This window comes from Homo sapiens, chromosome 5 (genome assembly GCF_000001405.40).
Source record: "Homo sapiens chromosome 5, GRCh38.p14 Primary Assembly".
NCBI classification, from domain to species: Eukaryota; Metazoa; Chordata; class Mammalia; order Primates; family Hominidae; genus Homo; species Homo sapiens.
In genome coordinates this window covers 93,463,056-93,483,022 of record NC_000005.10, presented here as the reverse complement: position 1 = coordinate 93,483,022, position 19,967 = coordinate 93,463,056, and the positions used below count along the sequence as shown (strand labels likewise).

General features: G+C 36.4%; 1 long non-coding RNA gene across 47 annotated transcripts in view, besides 1 other annotated feature; it reads left to right on the top strand.

The window, feature by feature from the left end:
• NR2F1-AS1 (NR2F1 regulatory antisense RNA 1) overlaps positions 1-19,967 on the top strand; it is a 176,234-nt gene that overhangs the window by 102,567 nt on the left and 53,700 nt on the right. The gene's annotated exons all lie outside the window — the stretch shown is intronic.
• Positions 5,512-7,264: an enhancer, noted in NCBI's record as "VISTA enhancer hs546". NCBI's record gives its function as "enhancer in: limb[7/7] | eye[7/7] | nose[7/7]" and the evidence as "EXISTENCE:transgenic organism evidence [ECO:0001131][PMID:17130149]".

Below are 19,967 nucleotides of genomic sequence, written 5' to 3'. Positions count from 1 at the left end.
AGCTGCACCCACAGCTGCCCCTTCCCCTAGGTGCTCTGTCCCAGCGAGATGGGAGTTTGATAATCCCCTGATTGGGTCTGCTGCCTTTCTTTCAGAGATGCCCTGCCCAGAGAGGGGAAATCTAGAAAGGCAGTCTGGCTACAGTGGCTTTGCCATGCTGCAGTGGGCTCTGCCCAGTTGGAACTTCCCAGAGGCTTTGTTTACACTGTGAGGGGAAAAGAGCCTACTCAAGCCTCAGTAATGGTGGACGCCTCTCCCTCCACCAAGCTAGAGCGTCCCAGGTTGACTTCAGACTGCTGTGCTTGCAGTGAGAATTTCAAGCCGGTTGATCTTAGATTGCTTGGCTCCATGGGGCTGGGGTCTGCTGAGCTAGACCACTTGGCTTTCTGGCTTTAGCCGCCTTTACAAGGGAGTGAATGGTTCTGCCTTGCTGTCATTCCAGGCTCCACTGGGGTATAAAAAAAAAACTCCTGTAGTTAGCTCGGTGTCTGCCCAAATGGCCGCCCAGTTTTGTGCTTGAAATCCAGGGCCCTGGTGATATAGGCACTGGAGGGAATCTCCTGGTCTGTGGGTTATGAAGACCGTGGGAAAAGCATAGTGTCTGAGTTGGAGTGCACTGTTCCTCATGGCACAGTCCCTCACAGCTTCCCTTGGCTAGGGGAGGGAGTTCACCGACCCCTTGCACTTCCTGGGTGAGGTGATGCCCCACCTGCTTCGGCTCATCCTCTGCAGGCTGCACCCACCGTCTAACCTGTCCCAATGAGATGAGTCAGGTACCTCAGTTGAAAATGCATAAATCACCTGCCTCCTGTGTTAGTCTCACTGGGAGCTGTAGACCAGAGCTTTTCCTATTTGGCCATCTTGCTAGCCACCCCGATAATTTCTACAGTTGATTTTTATCAACAAACCATTTTTTTTTGTTCCTATTGATTTTTCTCTATAGTTTTTCTCCTTTCTGTTTTATCTTTTCTCTAATCTTTATTATTTATTTTGCTTGTTTTGGGTGTAATTTGCACTTATTTTTCTAGTTTCTTAAGGTGTAAAATTAGGTTGTTAATTTGAGATTTATTAAAAATATAGGTGTTTACAGCTATAAAAATTTCCCCTGGATACTGCTTTTGCTGCCTCCTATACATTTTGGTATGTTGTGCTTTCATTTGCATTTTATCTGAAAGTATTTTTCTGTTTTTCTAGTGATTTCTTTCTTAACCTATTTTTTTTAAAGAATATGTTATTTAATTTCTGTGAACTTGAAAAGTTTCTAGTTTTCCTTCTTTTATTTATTTCTAGCTTCATTTCATTGTTGTTGTAGAAGATACTTGGTGTGATTTATATATTTTGAAGTCGATTGAAAATTGTGTTATGGCCTAAATTATGGTTTATTCTGGAGAATGTTTCATGTGAACTTGAGAAGAATACATATTCTTCCATTTTTGGTAGAGTGTTCTGTATATGTCTGTTAGGCCTTGTTGCTTTATAGTGTTGTTCAAATTGTCTATTTCCTTATTTATTTTCTGTGTGTTCTATCCATTACTAAAAGTGGGCTATTGAAGTTTCCAACTATTATTCTAGAGTTTCCAATTATTATCCTAATTATATAATTGTCCTGTCTTCTAGCCTGTTTTCTCTCTTCAGTTTTGTCACTATTTACTTTATATATTCTCAGGCTCTCTAGTTTGATGTGTATACATTTATAATTGTTATATCATATTGATGAATGGATCCTTTTATCCTTATAAAATGTATTTCTTTGTCTTTTGCAATAGTTTTTGATGTAAAATCCATTTTTTTCCTGATATCAGTATAGCCAGCCTGGCTCTCTTTTGGTTATTATTTGCATGGAATATTTTTTTCTATCCTTTCATTGTTAACTTATTATATCTTTGGGTCTAAAATTGGTCTCTTTTAAGCAGCAACTAGCTGGATCATGTTTTTAAAAAATTTTTTCTACAATCTCTGTTTTTTAATTTGTTTAATTCATTTACGCTTATAGTGCCAACTGATCATGAAGAACTTATTTTTGCCATTTTGCTATTTATTTTCTATATATCATGTCTTTTTTGTTTCTCAATTTCTCCAATATTGCCTCCTTTGTGTTTGATTGGATTTTTTAGAATAATATTTTGACATCCTCTTCATTTCCTTTTCAATATATTTTAAATTATTTTCTTAGTGGTTACCATGGGGGATTACAGTTAATATTCTAAATTTATAGCAATCTAGTTCTTAACTTCAGCAGCATACATTAATTCTGCTCCTACTCAGCTGCATTCTTCCCTTTATGTTGTTACTGTCACAAATTGTATCTTTATGCATTATGTGCCCATTGACATATATTTATAATTATTGTTTTATGCATTTGTGTTTTAAATCATACAGGAAATGAAAAGGGAAATTACATGCCCAAAATACATTAATACTAGGTTTTACATTTACCTATGTAGTTACCTTATCAGTGACTTTTATTTCATTGTATGGCTTTAAGTTACTGTTTAGTATCATTTTATTTCAGCCTGAAGAATTCCTTTAACATTTCTTGTAGAGCAAGTCTGTCAGTGAACTTTTATCTGGCAGTGTCTTAATTTCCTCTTCATTTTTGAAGTATTTTGCTGTATATAAATTCCTTGTTGGCATTTTTTCCCTTTCTGTATTTTAAATATTTTATTCCACTCCCTTTTGACCTCCATAGTTTCTCATAAAAATAGGTTGTTAATCTTATTGAGGATGGCTTGTATGTGATAAATCCCTTCTCTCTTGCTGATTTCAAGATTTTTCTCTGTCTTTGTCTATCAGCAGTTTGATTATAATGTGTCTTTGTGTGGATCTCATTGAGTTTGTCTTGCTTGGAGTTTGTTGAGATTCCTGGATGTGTAGCATCACATCTTTCATCAAATTTTGGAAGTTTTTGGATAATGTTTCTTCATTTCTCTCTTTTCTGTTTCTGTAACCCATAATGTGTATGTTGGTGCACTTGATGATGTCCTATAAGTCCTGTAGACTCTGTTTATTTTGCTTCATTAATTTTTTTTGTCTGTTCATAAGACTGGGTAAGTATAATTGTTCTGTCTTCAAGTTTGATAAACATTTCTTTTGCCTGAGCCCCTCTTCTGAATTTTTAATTTAATCTCTTATATTTTTCATCTCCATTATTTCTACTGTGTTCTTTTTAAAAAAAAATAATTTCTATTCCTTTATTGATATTTCTTACTCTTTTATATATAGTTTGCCTAATGTCATTTACTTATTTACTCATGGTTTCCTTTAATTCTTTGAGCATCTTTAAGCCAGTTAATTTAAAGTCTTTGCTTAGTAAATTCAACATCTGGGCTTCCTCAGGAATGGTCTTTATCATTTTTTTCCCCCATGAATGGGTCATACTTTCTATTTTTTGTGTGCTTCATAATTTTTTGTTGAGAACTGGACATTTTGAATACCGTAATGTGGCAATTTTGGAAATCAAATTCTGCCTTCTACATGAAGGGTTGTTGTTGTTGTTTGATGAAGGCAGCAGTTGTTCATTTGTTTAGTGACTTTTCCAAATTGTTTTGAAAAAACTATATTCCTTGTTATGTGTGGTTCCAGAAGCCTATGTTTTGTTATCTTCATGGTCAGTCAGCACACTGACAGAGATTTTTCTTAAATGCCTGGATTTTGTAAGAGAAGAAAAGTAAAGCATATTCTTTTTAATTTCCTTCAGCTGATGCCTGGGAAGCTGCGTCAGCCCATCATGGTTGAACCATCTCTGTACTGGCCCCTCAGTGAACTTCCAAACGGATCAAAATACAGAAACCCAATTTTTTTTTCAAGAGAAGGTTCCTGTTGTTCACTCTGGCACCAGCAAATTGCACCAGGCATACAGGCCATTGTCCCCATGCTGCTTTCCACAGGGCTTAAGGATAGTAGTTGTTATACATAACACTGAAATTCACCAAAATTTACTAGTCTCTTTCTTCATCAAGCACTCCTCTAGACACTGCAAATGTTCAGCTAGACTTGAGTTCTGAAGTAGTTGGTTATGACAGTTCGTGTCAACTCAACTGTTGTTTTGGTAAAGGGATTGATCCTACTCTACTGTCTTCCATGACATCACTTTCCTCCACGTTCATTCTTAAAAGCTTTCCAGTTTGAATGAGTTATATAGTCACTCATTGGTAATTGAATGGGAGGAACAAGAGAAAGAAATGAAAACAAGTTTCTATAAGAAAATATAAAACATGAGGATCATCAATAAATATTTATAAACTGTTCAAATAGTATAAACCTTCAGATGAATGCTACAGGATTTTCCTATTTTCAGTTCAGTATATAAAACTGCTCCTTTGGCTGGGCGCGGTGGCTCACACCTATAATTCCAGCACTTTGGTAGGCTGAGGTGAGTGGATCACAAGGTCAGGAGTTTGAGACCAGCCTGACCAACATGGTGAAACCCCATCTCTACTAAAAATACAAAAATTAGCCAGGCGTGGTGGCACACACCTGTAATCTCAGCTACTCAGGAGGCTGAAGCAGGATAATTGCTCGAATCTGGGATGCGAAGGTTGCAGTGAGCCGAGATCGTGCCACCGTACTCCAGCCTGGATGACAGAGCAAGACTGTCTCAAAACAAACAAAAAACAAACAAACAAAAAACAACAAAAAACCTGCCCTTTAGTAAGTTTTTATACAAGTGCAGCATTGATACAGTGGATGTCTTCATTGGGAGGATTGACAGATCATGTTGATTGCCATCCTGAGATTAGCATTGTCATTGTAACATGTGAACTGAGAGGTGGAGTCTGTGGAACAGTCTTTTCTCTTATTGCTGACATAGATTCCATATTGTATGTCTTTCTACTTACTCCCCCTTCCCAAATCTGTGGGTGGGTCATGAACAATTGCTTCATGGCTGTGTGCAGTCTGCAGGCCTTATGTTGTGTAGGCCTGCTATAGACAATGCTCTTTAATTGGGCAGAAAAGTTGCTGCATTGGCTTCTTTCCCATTTAAAAAAGCTGAGTACATGCTGTTATTGCAGCATTTCCAGTCTATGCCAGCTTGAGGAGCAAGTCCCAGGATTGGAAATCAAACTAGGGGCTCCACATGGTAATACATAGCACTGCATTTTGACTGTTGAGTCTGATTATATTTATAATTATGAGAAGGCACTTTATTGAAAGTAGATTAATATGTGTTTACTCATTCTGGAAATTCACTAGACTTCAGATGCTTTTTGAGTTCCACTTAAGATGATTTTCATTAAAGTTTTTGGTAACTACTCAGAAAGAATAATAGAGTACATTTGGGGAAAAATGCTTTCAATGAGAGATTGTATTGGCTGGCTGGCTAGCTGCCTCTCTCTCTCATTGCTCCTCAGAATGCTACAGGTGATAGCAAATTTCATCTTTTAAAGATGTGAGTGAATAAAAGTGGCAAAGTGGAAGAGACTTGTTTACCTTTTTTCTTGATCTAAATTAAATATGAATTTTGGTGAAAATAAGTAAAATAATTTCCTATTTATATAAGTTGTTACATTTCATGTTGAATTCTAAACTGCAGAAAGGGGGTTGTGATGGAATGCTTATCAAAATATTAGCTATATCATGAAAAATTGCATATAGTATCTTGATAGTGTAAAAACTTTCCTTGAAAAACCCTTTTATTGTAATTAAAATGTCTAAATTTTAATCATCTACTAAGAAACAAATAGTTTTAATCTTTTTCATTGTTCTCCATGTGATGTTAATGTTGTGTACATTAGCATTGATGTTTCAGTTTAATATTACTTTCTCTGGAACTGAAATTGCTAACACCATAGCTTTGGTAATGTACATTTGAATATTTAATTATGTTGCTATAAACAGCTTCTCTAATGCTACATTTTCATTGTATACATGGGCCTTCTGTTAGTGCAGACATTTAAGCAATCTTGCTTTCTATTTCCTGTTATATATACAATGCAAAGTATTCCCACCTGATATTTCCCCGAAGTTTCACTTGGGAAACAGAACATGATTTGAAAGATGTTTTTGTTTTATGTTGCTCAAATCAAGCTTTGGTTTGAATCAAACCAAATGATGAAAACTTAGTGCAGCCTTCTTTCCAGCAGAATGCAATTACCTCTAAGGCCTATAGTAAAAAGACCAACTAATTGAGAACACTTGTCTTTGTTTTCATTTAGCAAAGATTCTTATTAAGAAATGTCCATTTTTTTTTTCCAATTCAAAAAGGTGGTTTATAGTTAATGAACTAAGAGTTAGGAGTTCTGAAAAATCAAAGCATGTGCAGGTTATCTTCTTCCTCAAGGGGATACCTACTACTGCTGTGCTCGTGTGAAGTAATAATGAGATACCATAAGCAAACAGTAGATGATTCATGTCAGATGGTTCTCCAATAACGTTAGGAAGGAAAAGCAGCTGATGTATGGGATATTGAAGGCAGATTAAGTTGTTAATGTATATTAGTATATTCTTAATTTCCTTTTAATTGAAAAAGACATATTGACTTTAATTAGAACCATTTCACAGGAACTGTCAATTAGCACATGTCAAACTAGTTAATTCAGAACAGAATTCTTTTAATTAGGGTCTGCTTTCCTTTAACTGTGGGGCCAATGAATTCAGCCTTTCCTTATCTAGATTTTAAATGTCTCTAAGACATATAATACAAATGTAGACTCTTATCTATTATTAGAAGCCCATATGGATAACATTAAAATGATGATGCTGGCATTGTTCATGCAGCACAAATCAGAGTCCCTTTATGACTGTTAGAAAAAAAGATGGCTTTGAACAAAGGCTACTTTAAATACCAGATTTATCCTACTTTAAAGAGACTACAAAATTTATGACATGCATGTTCACATTTAAAGTATTATTTAATATGTCTGCTCAAATAAATGGGCCTATTCAAGCGTTTTGTGTGTTCTATCAGTCGAAGACACACAAAACATTGTCAAACCATACAGCAACATTTTTCCCTTAAATGAACTGTAATCAAAAAGAGAAAACAGACTGAATGATTTTTTTGGCACAACATAAAAATAGCATTGTTAACTTTCATTGCATTCAAAGATTTAATACCAATAGTTGATACAGTGACTAAACTCTAGTAGTGAACTAATGTGATTTTAGTAGTCAGACAGTGTAAAATCTGAAACTTGGCTATTGCTTAATTTAATGATGTGGAATTATAGCATTTTAGTTACTGGCATGAAGTACATACAGTGAACGTGGGGGGTCAAGGCTGTATGGTGCTCACCTTCAAAACAGGTGTGCTCAAAATTAAAGGAAGAAAATTAAGTGATACTGAAAGGGGCAATTAATGTGAAATCTAGCTTTCTTTCATCATATGAGTTTTAGCAACTGTTTTACTGAGTTGGAGCAAATGATTATGACAAAAATTAATGACAGGAATATTTAATAAGCTAAGCTCTAGATTCGAAAGGAATTATCTAGTAAGATACTTGTTCATCCTACTATAGGTACATTTAACTTAATGAAAGCAGTTGTGTTCCCTTCTAGGGTGTGCTGTACTGTAATTCTATCAGTGGCTGCATTTGTTCCACTGAAATCAAATGAAGAATTGTAGTAATCTGCTAATTCTGGTTAATGTAGGCAGAATAACAAAGGCAACAAACAAACAGGTGAAGAAAAGCAACAAAATTCCTTTGTTTTTTTTCTAGAGTTGACTTTCCTTCCTCTTCTCATCTATTTCTAGAGGTGCTTTCTGCTGTGTGTTTAAAAGACACGGCCTGTGTTCAGCCATCCATATTTTGTGCAGGTCCATAGCTTTTAACTTTTTGGATCATATAGTCCTTTGAGTCCCTGATGACAGGTACGGATCTTTGTCTCAGAAAAATCCACATAGGCATACACACACTAAAATTTTCAGGATGGGAAATCATCTTTTTTTTTTTTTTTTTTGAGATGGAGTCTCGCTCTGTTGCCCAGGCTGGAGTGCAGTGGCACAATCTCGGCTCACTGCAAGCTCCGCCTCCCAGGTTCACGCCATTCTCCTGCCTCAGCCTCCCCAGCAGCTGGGACTACAGGCACACACGGCCATGCCTGGCTAATTTTTGTATTTTTAGTAGAGACGGGGTTTCACCGTGTTAGCCAGGATGGTCTCGATCTCCTGACCTTGTGATCTGCCTGCCTCGGCCACCCAAAGTGCTGGGATTTACAGGCGTGAGCCACCGCACCTGGCCGGGAAATCATCTTTGCTATAGACTGAATGTCTATGTTCTCCCCAAATTTGTATGTTGAAACCTAATCTCCAATGTATTGGCTTGGCCTTTAGCAGGTAATTAAGTCATGAGAGTCATGATTAGGGTAGGGAGATTAGGTCATAGGAGCCCTCATGAATGGTATTAGTGCCATTATAAAAATACACCCCAAGAGAACTGCTTTGCCCCTTCTGTCATGTGAAGACAACGAATAAGTAGACACCCATCTATGAGTTAGGAAGCAGGCCCTCACCAGGCACTGGATCTGTTAGTTCCTCGATCTTAGACTTCCCAGCCTCCAGAGCTGTAAGAAGTAAGTTTCTGTTGCTTATAAGCCATCTAGCCTATGGTATTCTGTTATAGCAGCCTGAATGGACTAAGACATTCTTAAAAAATAATTTTGGTACAGCCTGCTGAAAGATGTAACTTCAATTTAATATTATTGAGTATTGTACTGTTATAGGCAGTATACTTGGTTCTGGGAATCTAACAGTGGGTAAGATGAACCTGAGCAAGTAACTGTGACAAGTTATTGACATGTTATTAGAATTACTATACAATTCTTTTTCTTAAGCCTTTTTTACTTTCTAAATCGATTAAAATTTGGTCATCTTAACAAATCTTGTACAGTAATACATGTGATAAGATTGACAATTTTGTATACAAAGTGCCTGAAAAATATAATTATTGAAACATTAGAGGAGATAAATTTTGTGTTATAAGTTTAACTCAACTGATTTAGTTAATCCTTTCCGCTTTATTTATAATTATGTTCTGGTTAATAATATCAAGTAATAATAATATAGTTTTAATTTATCTTTTAGCTCTGTTTATTAATCTAAATTCTATAATTTATAATTATTTACAAAGAAGACATAAAGGATACTGATATTTTTATAAGCTAGTTTCATTTGAACTCAAAGCAAATTATATAAATGATCTTGGAGAGTTGCTAATTAATTTCTCAAGTATCCATGAGTAGGTTATCTATGCTGTGCCACTATTTAAATTTGAATAGTGGCTAAGCAAGGTCTACTTTCCAGAATATCAACCAGAGTCTGTTGTTCTGTGGGATAGTCTCAATTCCTTTGTATCTCAAAAAGGGATTTGAGTGTGTGTGTGTATGTGTGTGTGTGTGTTTGGTCTTTAGGAATATACTATAGCATTCTTCAATATATATATTGAAGCATACTTTATATATATAATATATATATTTAAGGGTATATTAAAACCTCAAATAAGCCTGGCAGATGGGAAAGGGGATACCAACTTCAGTTAACTTAATCATTAATAATAATTGAAATCTTGGAGTAGGAAAAAGTGTGTGGGGAATGTAACTAATTATATACTTGTGAGGCAACGGGAGGCTTCCAAAGAAACCTCTGTATATTTAATATTTTCCCTTGGGATGACAATACTGATTAAGTAGGTAAGAGTGAACTGTAAGTATTTTTAGATAAAAATATTTTAGAATTAATTTATTCTATCGCTAAAGATCAACAGAATATATTGGCAGAAAAGAATAATTCATATCTTTATTACTCAGAAAGAAACTCTGGTTTACCTTATATATGGCAGATTTTAGTGCATTTATCTGACAGTATCCATATCTGTTCATTTTTCTTGGTGCATCAGTAACATATTGTTTTTATTCCCAATTTGTTCCTTGATTGTCTGTAGCAATTTAAACTGTAAACTAAATAATAGCAAGGAAAAGCCCACCCTTGCTGCATTTGGCAGCAACAAAAATATTTGAACTTTGGAAATTTACATGACACATGGGCCTTAACTTGGTTTAATCATCTTAATGGTATAGGTGGTATATGTTTTATATATTGGTAAAAATAGGCAAAAATTGTTCAGGTCATGTTTAAATCAAAACAACAGGCATTTAATTTTGATTTAACAGCATTTTAGCAGGTTATTTAAATGATTAGGAGCTATTATTTCAAATATCCAAAATAGGAAATTTTTAGATATCACTGGAATGCTTTGTTTAAAGGGAAGGTAATGTTCAGATTAAAAATTTTAATTATTACATTTTCAGAGTTAAAATGGAAACATTCTTAATTATTTTATCCATTCTAGATTTTTATTCAATATAGTGTTGGTTTGCTTAGGTACTAAATGTACCACTCTGTGTGTGTGATTTCTGTTTTTTTTGTATATATGTGAATATCTCTTCACCCCCAAAAACAACCCACAGATTTTTCTACCTAATGATTAGTAGTCTGAAATGTCAATTAAATATTTTACATATATGTATAATCATTTAGCAAATTTAATTTTTTATATCTTGAGTGAGAGTATATTCATGTAGCTTATGGAGAGTAGCTAAGAGATATTTACATATTTCTATTTTTATTTTAGTCAGTATCAAGTTAATTTGGTTCAATAACACAAGTATTTATTGCACACCTACTATTTCCTGGCACAAGATATTAGGCATTATCTTGTTGAACATTAATTAAAACATTTGTCTTTCTCTTAACTTAATTATGTGGACTCTGTCAAAAACTATTAATGATCAGCAAATTCATGATTGTCTTTTCAAAATTATTTATTTAATGCTTTACAGTTGAAATATTTTCAAGTTCATTATCTTATGCAAGCCGAACAATCTCATCATTACAGTGTAATTTCCTTCATTGATATCATTAAGGATTCTGCATATGAAAAGGCTGGGTTCAAATTATAGCAACACTATTTACCAGCTTTGTGAACTTATATAAGTTATCTAATCTCTCTGAGCTTCAGTTCCCTCCTCTGAAAATGGATAATAATACATACTGTATAGTACTGTAAGGATTAAATGAAATAAAGGGTTTAGATTGTACTTGTTACATACTCAATAAATGAATATTGGTTCTATACCTTTTTCAAGCGGTTTTGTTGTATTAACTGTCCCTAGTGAGATACGCAGCTATTGGTTAAATAAGTTCACCTTTGATGGAAATACAAATTGTTAACATAAATGCTCTCCTAATTTGATTATTGATAATTATTAACCGGGGAACCTTTACCATTGTCCATGGTGCTTCAGAAGGAGCCAGCTGATTACAGTCATCAACTTATGACCAACAGTTCTTTCTTTACTGTGCATGTGAAATACAATACGACTATCACTCATTAAAATGGCTTCTAACAATCTTTGTTTATACTAGTTCAGTGTAAAAAATTCAATTATTCTTGAATAGCAGTCTTATAAACTCCTAAAAATATGAAAAATGTAAGTTATCACCTGTAACCAAAGGTGTAATTACTACAGAAATTTTTCATATATTTTATATACATTTTCTGAAAATTTTATTAGGTTATTATATTCTATTCATATTGTGATTTAAATGGCTGCATTGCATTCATTTTTAAAAAATTAAACTCTTTTTGATGTTTGGATATTTTTCCTTGTCCAGTAAATAATGTTGGAATGCACGTCTTTATACATAAAACTTTGTTGCATTTCTGAATATTGCCTTAGGATAATTCTTAGGAGTAGAATTACTGGTCAGAGAGAATGAACATTAACACAACATATCTTACCAAATTGCTTTCCAGAAAAGTGCCAATGCATACTTCTGCCCACCCCAAATGAGACTTTCGGACAGAAGAATGGATGGCTTTTTGAATATACAGTTTGGCTAGTTGTTAAGTCAGTTGATCAGTATATAGTTTTTTGCTAATTGATTCTTGTCTAATTGATTCATTTTGGCACTAATTTAGAAAGAGGCCAAATAACATTCTAATGACTATGTGATCTAGCCTGGGATTTTCAAAAATATATCTTTAACTTTTAAAGTAATGTTTAAAAGTAAAATTTGGTATAAATGGAAACTAGTATACCAGTTTGACATAGTCATATCTTGATTTTTGTATGTGTTATAAGTTCTCTTCAGGGCTAATTTCTATGGCAATTTTTAGAGTAAAATGAGATTTTTCTAATGAGCAATTAAAGTATTTGTATTATCGGCAATATACATTACAGAAAAACTTAAGGGTAAAAGTAAACTCATTTTATTTTGTAGTAAAATCAGAAATAGTAAAAATATGCTAACATGATAATATCTAATAAGGGAAATGTTCCATGCAAATGTCTGTTTTTCTGTTAATCCCTAAAATGACTGTATGCTTTCATCTATATGAGTAGTGTCAGACACAGGCATGTTACTAGGAGTGATATATCCACTTACAGGACAAGTAAACATGATAGGAGATTAGAATTTTCATAAATACCGTTTTAAAGGTGATTCAAATCTTTAGATAATGTAAGATTTGAGATTTCAACAAAGATGTAATATATATATATATAGATATGCTACTTCTGAGAGTTGTTTAGATATTTTTCTCTTGGTTAGCTGCATTTAGTACAGCTTCCAACATAGAAAGATGAGAACTGGGTCCTGTGCAATGGGTCTTTTATTAGTCACAGAGAAATATGATTTTGTTTAGTTATTTTTAATGCCTGCATCTAGGCACACTAACAATTTTTTATTATAGTATGTAGATAACAAGGTCATATGCTCTCAAACTAACACAAAAGACATATGAAAGGAAAAGTAAAAACATAATTTTTGTTTTTGCTGTCATTATTTGGGATTTCCATAATTTCTAAGTATATTAGGTACCCTTTCATGTTTATTGTATTATGCTGATGGCAATGTTATATTTCATTAACATCAAGTTGGTAAAAATAAAAAGCAGAAAAGTTTTCTGCTATTACTATTGTTCTAGATTTCTGTCCTGTAAATATTTACCTTTTGTGGCTATGAGTTATTTTCAGAATATGAATGCTTTTGGAAGATGTATCTTGTTTTAAGTCAGATTAGACTGCTAACCACAATTTGAACTGATTCCTTTACTTTTGATAAATATGTTGTACTAATACTATAAACAGTTGTTATATTTTGCACTTGTCACATTTTCTATTAAATATATGTCACTGAAGGCATAGCTTTAATGAGGGTTAGGGAGAGTCAAATATCTATAGTCACCCTTTTGCATTGATATTAACAGCCTTCGGTCTTAGAACTGCTACTGTGCTAGCTATATCCACAATAACTGACAGGGAGTGTGGATGTAGGGAATAGGGAAAAATCTAGAGGAGATTTATGCATCAGATAGAGGTTCAAGTATCTATTGATTCAACATGTATTTCTTGAGTATTTACTGTGTGCAAGGAAGGCATGGTGCAAGCTGTTGTGGAAGATAAATAATCTGGTTTCTAGCCTAAGAAAACTTACAAACTAGATAAACTTCAAGGTCTTTTCCTACACAGAGGTTCTGTTAATACTGTGATTGTTTACTGAGCTTTAGTTGGTTTTTCCTATGACCGGGTTCTCTGTATACACAGAATATAATTTGCTTTTGTTAGGTAAGGTAATGCACTGCGTGATGTTTCAGTCAATGATGGACCACATAGAGGATGGTGGTCCCATAAGATTATAATACCTTAGTATTAATGAACCTTTTCTATGTTTAGATATATTTAGATACACAGATACCATTGCATTAAGATTTCTTACAGTATTAAGTACAGTTACATGTTCTATGGGTTTGTAGCCTACAATAGGCCATACCATATATCCTAGGTTTGTAGTAGGCTGTACCCTGTAGGTTTGTGTAAGTACACCCCACGATGGTCACACAATGACGAAACCACCTAATGATACATTTCTCAATACATATCCCCATCATTAAGCAACTCAAATGACTATAATTTAGAGAGTATCAAAAATAAGCTTTTCCACAAATATCTTTACCAATGAGCCAAAAAAGCCCTGTTAAGCATTCCTTTGGGTTAAAGAATTATCTGTTGGTGACATATACATCAGTGGAACAGAACAGAGGCCTCAGAAATAACACCACACATCTACAATCATCTGATCTTTGACAAACCTGAGAAAAACAAGCAATGGGGAAAGGATTCCCTGCTTAATAAATGGTGCTGGGAAAACTGGCTAGCCATATGTAGAAAGCTGAAACTGGATCCCTTCCTTACACCTTATACAAAAATTAACTCAAGATGGATTAAAGACTTAAATGTAAGACCTAACACCATAAAAACCCTAGAAGAAAACCTAGGCAATACCATTCAGGACATAGGCATGGGCAAAGACTTCATGACTAAAACACCAAAAGCAATGGCAACAAAAGCCAAAATAGACAAACGGGATCTAATTAAACTAAAGAGCTTCTGCACAGCAAAATAAACTATCATCAGAGTGAACAGACAACCTACAGAATGGTAGAAAATTTTTGCAATCTACTCATCTGTCAAAGGGCTAATATCCAGAATCTACAAGGAACTTAAACAACTTTACAAGAAAAAAACAACCCCATCAAAAAGTGGGCAAAGGATATGAACAGACACTTCTCAAAAGAAGACATTTATGCAGCCAACAGACACATCAAAAAATGCTCATGATCACTGGTCATCAGAGAAATGCAAATCAAAACCACAATGAGATACCATCTCATGCCAGTTAGAATGGCGATCATTAAAAAGTCAGGAAACAACATGCTGGAGAGCATGTGGAGAAATAGTGCTTTTACACTGTTGGTGGGAGTGTAAATTAGTTCAACCATTGTGGAAGACAGTGTGGCAATTCCTCAAGGATCTAGAACTAGAAATACCATTTGACCCAGCCATCCCATTACTGGGTATATACCCAAAGGATTATAAATCATGCTGCTATAAAGACACATGCACGTGTATGTTTATTGCGGCACTATTCACAATAGCAAAGACTTGGAACCAACCCAAATGTCCATCAATGATAGACTGGATTAAGAAAATGTGACACATATACACCATGGAATACTATGCAGCCATAAAAAATGAGTTCATGTCCTTTGCAGGGACATGGATGAAGCTGGAAACCACCATTCTCAGCAAACTATCACAAGGACAGAAAACCAAACACTGCATGTTCTCACTCATAGGTGGGAGTTGAACAATAAGAACACATGGACACAGGGCAGGAAACACCATATGCCGGGGCCTGTCAGGGCATAGCATTAGGGGAAATACCTAATATAAATGACGAGTTAATGGGTGCAGCAAACCAACATGGCACATGTATACCTATGTAACAAACCTGCACATTGTACACATGTACCCTAGAACTTAAAGTATAATAATAAAAAAGAATTATCTGTTGGCTGATCCTTAAATTGTTATCTAACAAAGGATTCTACCAGAATATTGAATTTGTTTAGCAGAATAGTTATTTGAGATGAGGAAACTGAAATAGTAGAACACGAAACAGATAACATTTTGATGGCAGTAGTTGGGACTTAAAGTCAAATCAACTGAACGGAGCACTGGCCTGATGAGGGCAAGGCTTAGAGAGACAAATTTATGTGTGGGGTGGTTCCTGGGAAGCTAAGAAGTATGAGGGCCTTAGAAAAGGGTGCTAAAAATGAGGAGAGGATGCCTTGGAAAATTGAAGAGTGAATGGCATAGTTCAATGATACAAGTCTTCTCTGGGATGAACTTGGCCATAAAAACTGGAAGGGGTGATGAGGAAAACCCCTGCATCATATGAGTTTTTTTCTAATTCTGTGAAGAATGTCAATGGTAGTTTCATGGGAATAACACTGAATTTATAAATTACTTTGGGCAATATGGACATTTTCACGATATTGATATATTCTGGAGCACTTTGGGAGGCCAAGGCGGATGGATCACTTGAGGTCAAGAGTTCAAGACCAGCCTGGCCAATGTGGTGAAACTGCATCTCTACTAAAACTACAGAAAATTATCCAGGCATGGTGGCAGGCGCCTGTAATCCCAGCTGCTTGAGAGGCTGAGGCAGGAGAATCTCTTGAACCTCTGAGGTGGAGTTTGCAGAGAGCTGAGATTGTGCCACTACACTCCAGCCTGGGCACCACAGTGAGACTCCGTCCACCCCCCCCCCCCCCAAAAAAGGGATATTCTGGAGAAGGAAAAGAAGAAACTTTAATCAGATGAAGCCCCAAAGCATTCAGTATTCCTGATGTAGGAGGTGAAAGAGAATGGCTTTATGATTGTTTGTTTCATTCTGTTGCCTTCATAATGAGTACTTGATAGTGTGGATGATGTCAATGTTCTTTTTGACATGTAAAGGAATATCAGATCTACTCTTAACAGTTTCTTAATAGAGAACTTGTCTTTTACTGAGGCTACTGATTAATAGCAAAGGAATTCTAGGTTGGGTGTGGTGGCTCACACCTGTAATCCCAGCACTTTGGGAGGCTGAGGTGGGCGGGTCACTTCAGGTCAGGAGTTTGGGACTAGCCTGGCCAACATGGTGAAACCCTGTCTCTACTAAAAATATAAAAAATTAGCCAGGCGTGGTGGTGGGCGCCTTTAGTCCCAGCGACTTGGAAGGCTGAGGCAGGACAATCTCTTGAACCCAGGAGGTGGAGGTTGCAATGAGCTGAGATTGAGTGCGCCACTGCACTCCAGTGCCTGGGTGACAGAGCGAGACCATGTCTCAAGAAAAAAAAAAAAAAGAATTCTTTGAGGGCAGTATGTGATTAAAAAAATTATGGCAGTGGAAGCAAAAGAGGAGGAGGAAAAGAGATGGCAAAAGTGGGTGGATATTATTGGAGGAAACATGAGAGGAAGGAAGATGAGAAAAAAGAATGGGTGGAATGAGAAAAGATTGTCTTCATTCTGTTGCGAAGGCCTCAACCATCTGAGGGTTGACCTCTCTTTTGCTTCCATCCCTCCTAGCTTCCTCTAGCTAGTAACAATCTTTTTTTTTTTAATTATACTTTTAAGTTCTAGGGTACATGTGCACAACGTGCAGGTTTGTTACATATGTATACATGTGCCATGTTGGTTTGCTGCACCCATCAACTCGTCATTTACATTAGGCATTTCTCCTAATGCTAACCCTCCCCCAACCCCCCACCCCACAACAGGCCCCCATGTGTGATGTTCCCCTTCCTGTGTCCAAGTGTTCTCAATGTTCAGTTCCCACCTATAAGTGAGAACATGCAGTGTTTGGTTTTCTATTCTTGTGATAGTTTGCTGGGAATGATGGTTTCCAGCTTCATCCATGTCCCTGCAAAGGACATGAACTCATCCTTTTTTATGGCTGCATAGTATTCCATGTTGTATATGTGTCACATTTTCTTAATCCAGTCTATCATTGATGGCATTTGGGTTGGTTCCAAGTCTTTGCTATTGTGAATAGTGCTGCAATAAACATACACGTGCATGTGTCTTTATAGCAGCATGATTTATAATCCTTTGGGTATATACCCAGTAATGGGATGGCTGGGTCAAATGGTATTTCTAATTCTAGATCCTTGAGGAATTGCCACACTGTCTTCCACAATAGTTGAACTAATTTACACTCCCACCAACAGTGTAAAACACTCCTATTTCTCCACATCCTCTCCAGCATCTGTTGTTTCCTGACTTTTTAATGATCGCCATTCTAACTGGCATGAGATGGTATCTCATTGTGGTTTTGATTTGCATTTCTTTGATGACCAGTGATCATGAGCATTTTTTGATGTGTCTGTTGGCTGCATAAATGTCTTCTTTTGAGAAGTGTCTGTTCATATCCTTTGCCCACTTTTTAATGGGGTTGTTTGTTTTTTTCTTGTAAAGTTGTTTAAGTTCTTTGTAGATTCTGGATATTAGCCCTTTGACAGGTGAGTAGATTGCAAAAATTTTCTCCCATTCTGTAGGTTGCATGTTCACTCTGATGATAATTTCTTTTGCTGTGCAGAAACTCTTTAGTTTAATTAGATCCCATTTTTCTATTTTGGCTTTTGCAGCAAAGCTGCAAGGTGTCAGGAGAATTCTTAGGCAGGTATGCAGTAGCATTTATTAATATAAATACCACTGTAGGAATGGGAGATGGTTATTCAGGAACAGCTTGCGCTAGATGATACTACTGAAGGTCTGTTTTACCTTTGGAAGAGTACTGCAGAACCATGATGGAATAGGTGACTTTTCCTAGCAATTTCTCATTGATTTGTTCTTTCAAAGGCCAACATCAGTGATGTTGAGTGGAAGTAAATGTTGGCCAATTCAGTAAATATTGTTTTGTGGGCTTATGTATCAGGTGCTGCTAGATGTTTTTGCAAATGTTAGGCTGCATGAATATTTGTTTCCGTTTTCAGGAGAAAAAAACCTGAAGCTCAGAGGCCCTATTGGGCCATAGCTACTTCAAGTACTTGATTAGTTATCTGAATATTCCTACTAAAATAGGTTCTTTGCCTGAATTCTTAGGTAATTGCAACATTGTAGATATGGTTCTTAATCATATTTAATCATGTGCTGTTAATCACATGATTTTAAAATACTTAAAAAACTCTTAATCAAATTTAATCATGTGCTGTTAAATTTCTAAGACTATATTAGAAGGGTAATTGAAAACATCTATTTTAAAACACATTTTCTAATTTTCTAGTAAATAAAGGGCTTTGTGGTTGTATTAGTCCGTTTTCATGCTGCTGATAAAGACATACCCAAGACTGGGCAATTTAGAAAAGAAAGACATTTAATGGACTCACAGTTAATCATGGCTGAAGGTAAAAGGCACATCTCACATGGCAGCAGACAGGAAAAGAGAGCTTGTGCAGTGAAACTCCCCTTTTTAAAACCATCAGATCTCTTGAGACTTATTCAGTATCATGAGAACAGCATGGAAAGACCTGCCACCATAATTCAATCACCCCCTACCAGGTTCCTCCCATGATATGTTGAAATTGTGGGAGTTACAATTCAAGATGAGATTTGGGTGGGGACACAGCCAAACCATATCATTCCACCTCTGGCCCCTCCGAAATCTCACATCTTCACTTTTCAAAACCAATCATGCCTTCCCAACAGTCTCCCAAAGTCTTAACTCATTTCAGCACTAACTCAAAAGTCCACCATTTAAAGTCTCATCTGAGACAAGGCAAGTCCCTTCTGCCTATGAGCCTGTAAAATCAAAAGCAAGTTAGTTACTTTCTAGATCCAATGGGGGTACCAGCATTGGGAAAATAGACCCATTCCAAATGGGAGAAATTGGCCGAAACAAAGGGGCTAAAGACCACATGCAAGTCTGAAATCCAGCAGGGCAGTCAAGTCTTAAAGCTCCAAAATGATCTCCTTTGACTCCATGTCTTGCATTCAGGTCATGCTGATGCAAGAGTGGGTTCCCATGGTCTTGGGCAGTTCCACCCCTGTGGCTTTACAGGGTACAGGCCCCCTCCTGGCTGCTTTCATGGGCTGGCATTCAGTGTCTGTAGCTTTTCCAGGCACATGGTGCAAGCTGTCGGTGGATCTACCACTCTGGGGCCTGGAGGATGATGGCCTCTTCTCACAGCTCCACTAGGCAGTGCCCCAGTGGGGACTCTCTGTGGGGGCTTCAACCCCACATTTCCCTTCCACACTGCCCAAGCAGAGGTTCTCCATGAGGGCCCCACCTCACAGCAAACTTCTGCCTGGACATCCGGGCATTTCCACACATCCTCTGAAATCTAGGTGAAGGTTTCCAAACCTCAGTTCTTTACTTCTGTGTACCCACAGGTTCAACATCATGTGGAAGTTGCCAAGGCTCAGGGCTTTCACCCTCTGAAGCCATGGCCTGAGCTATACCTTGGTCCCTTTTAACCATGGCTAGAGTGGCTGGAACACAGGGCACCAATTCCCTAGGTGGCATACAGCAGGGGGGCCCTGTGCATGGCCCATGAAACCATTTTTTCCTCCTAGGTCTCTGGGCCTGTGATGGGTGGGGCTGCCGCAAAGGTCTCTGACATGGCCTGGAGACATTTTCCCCA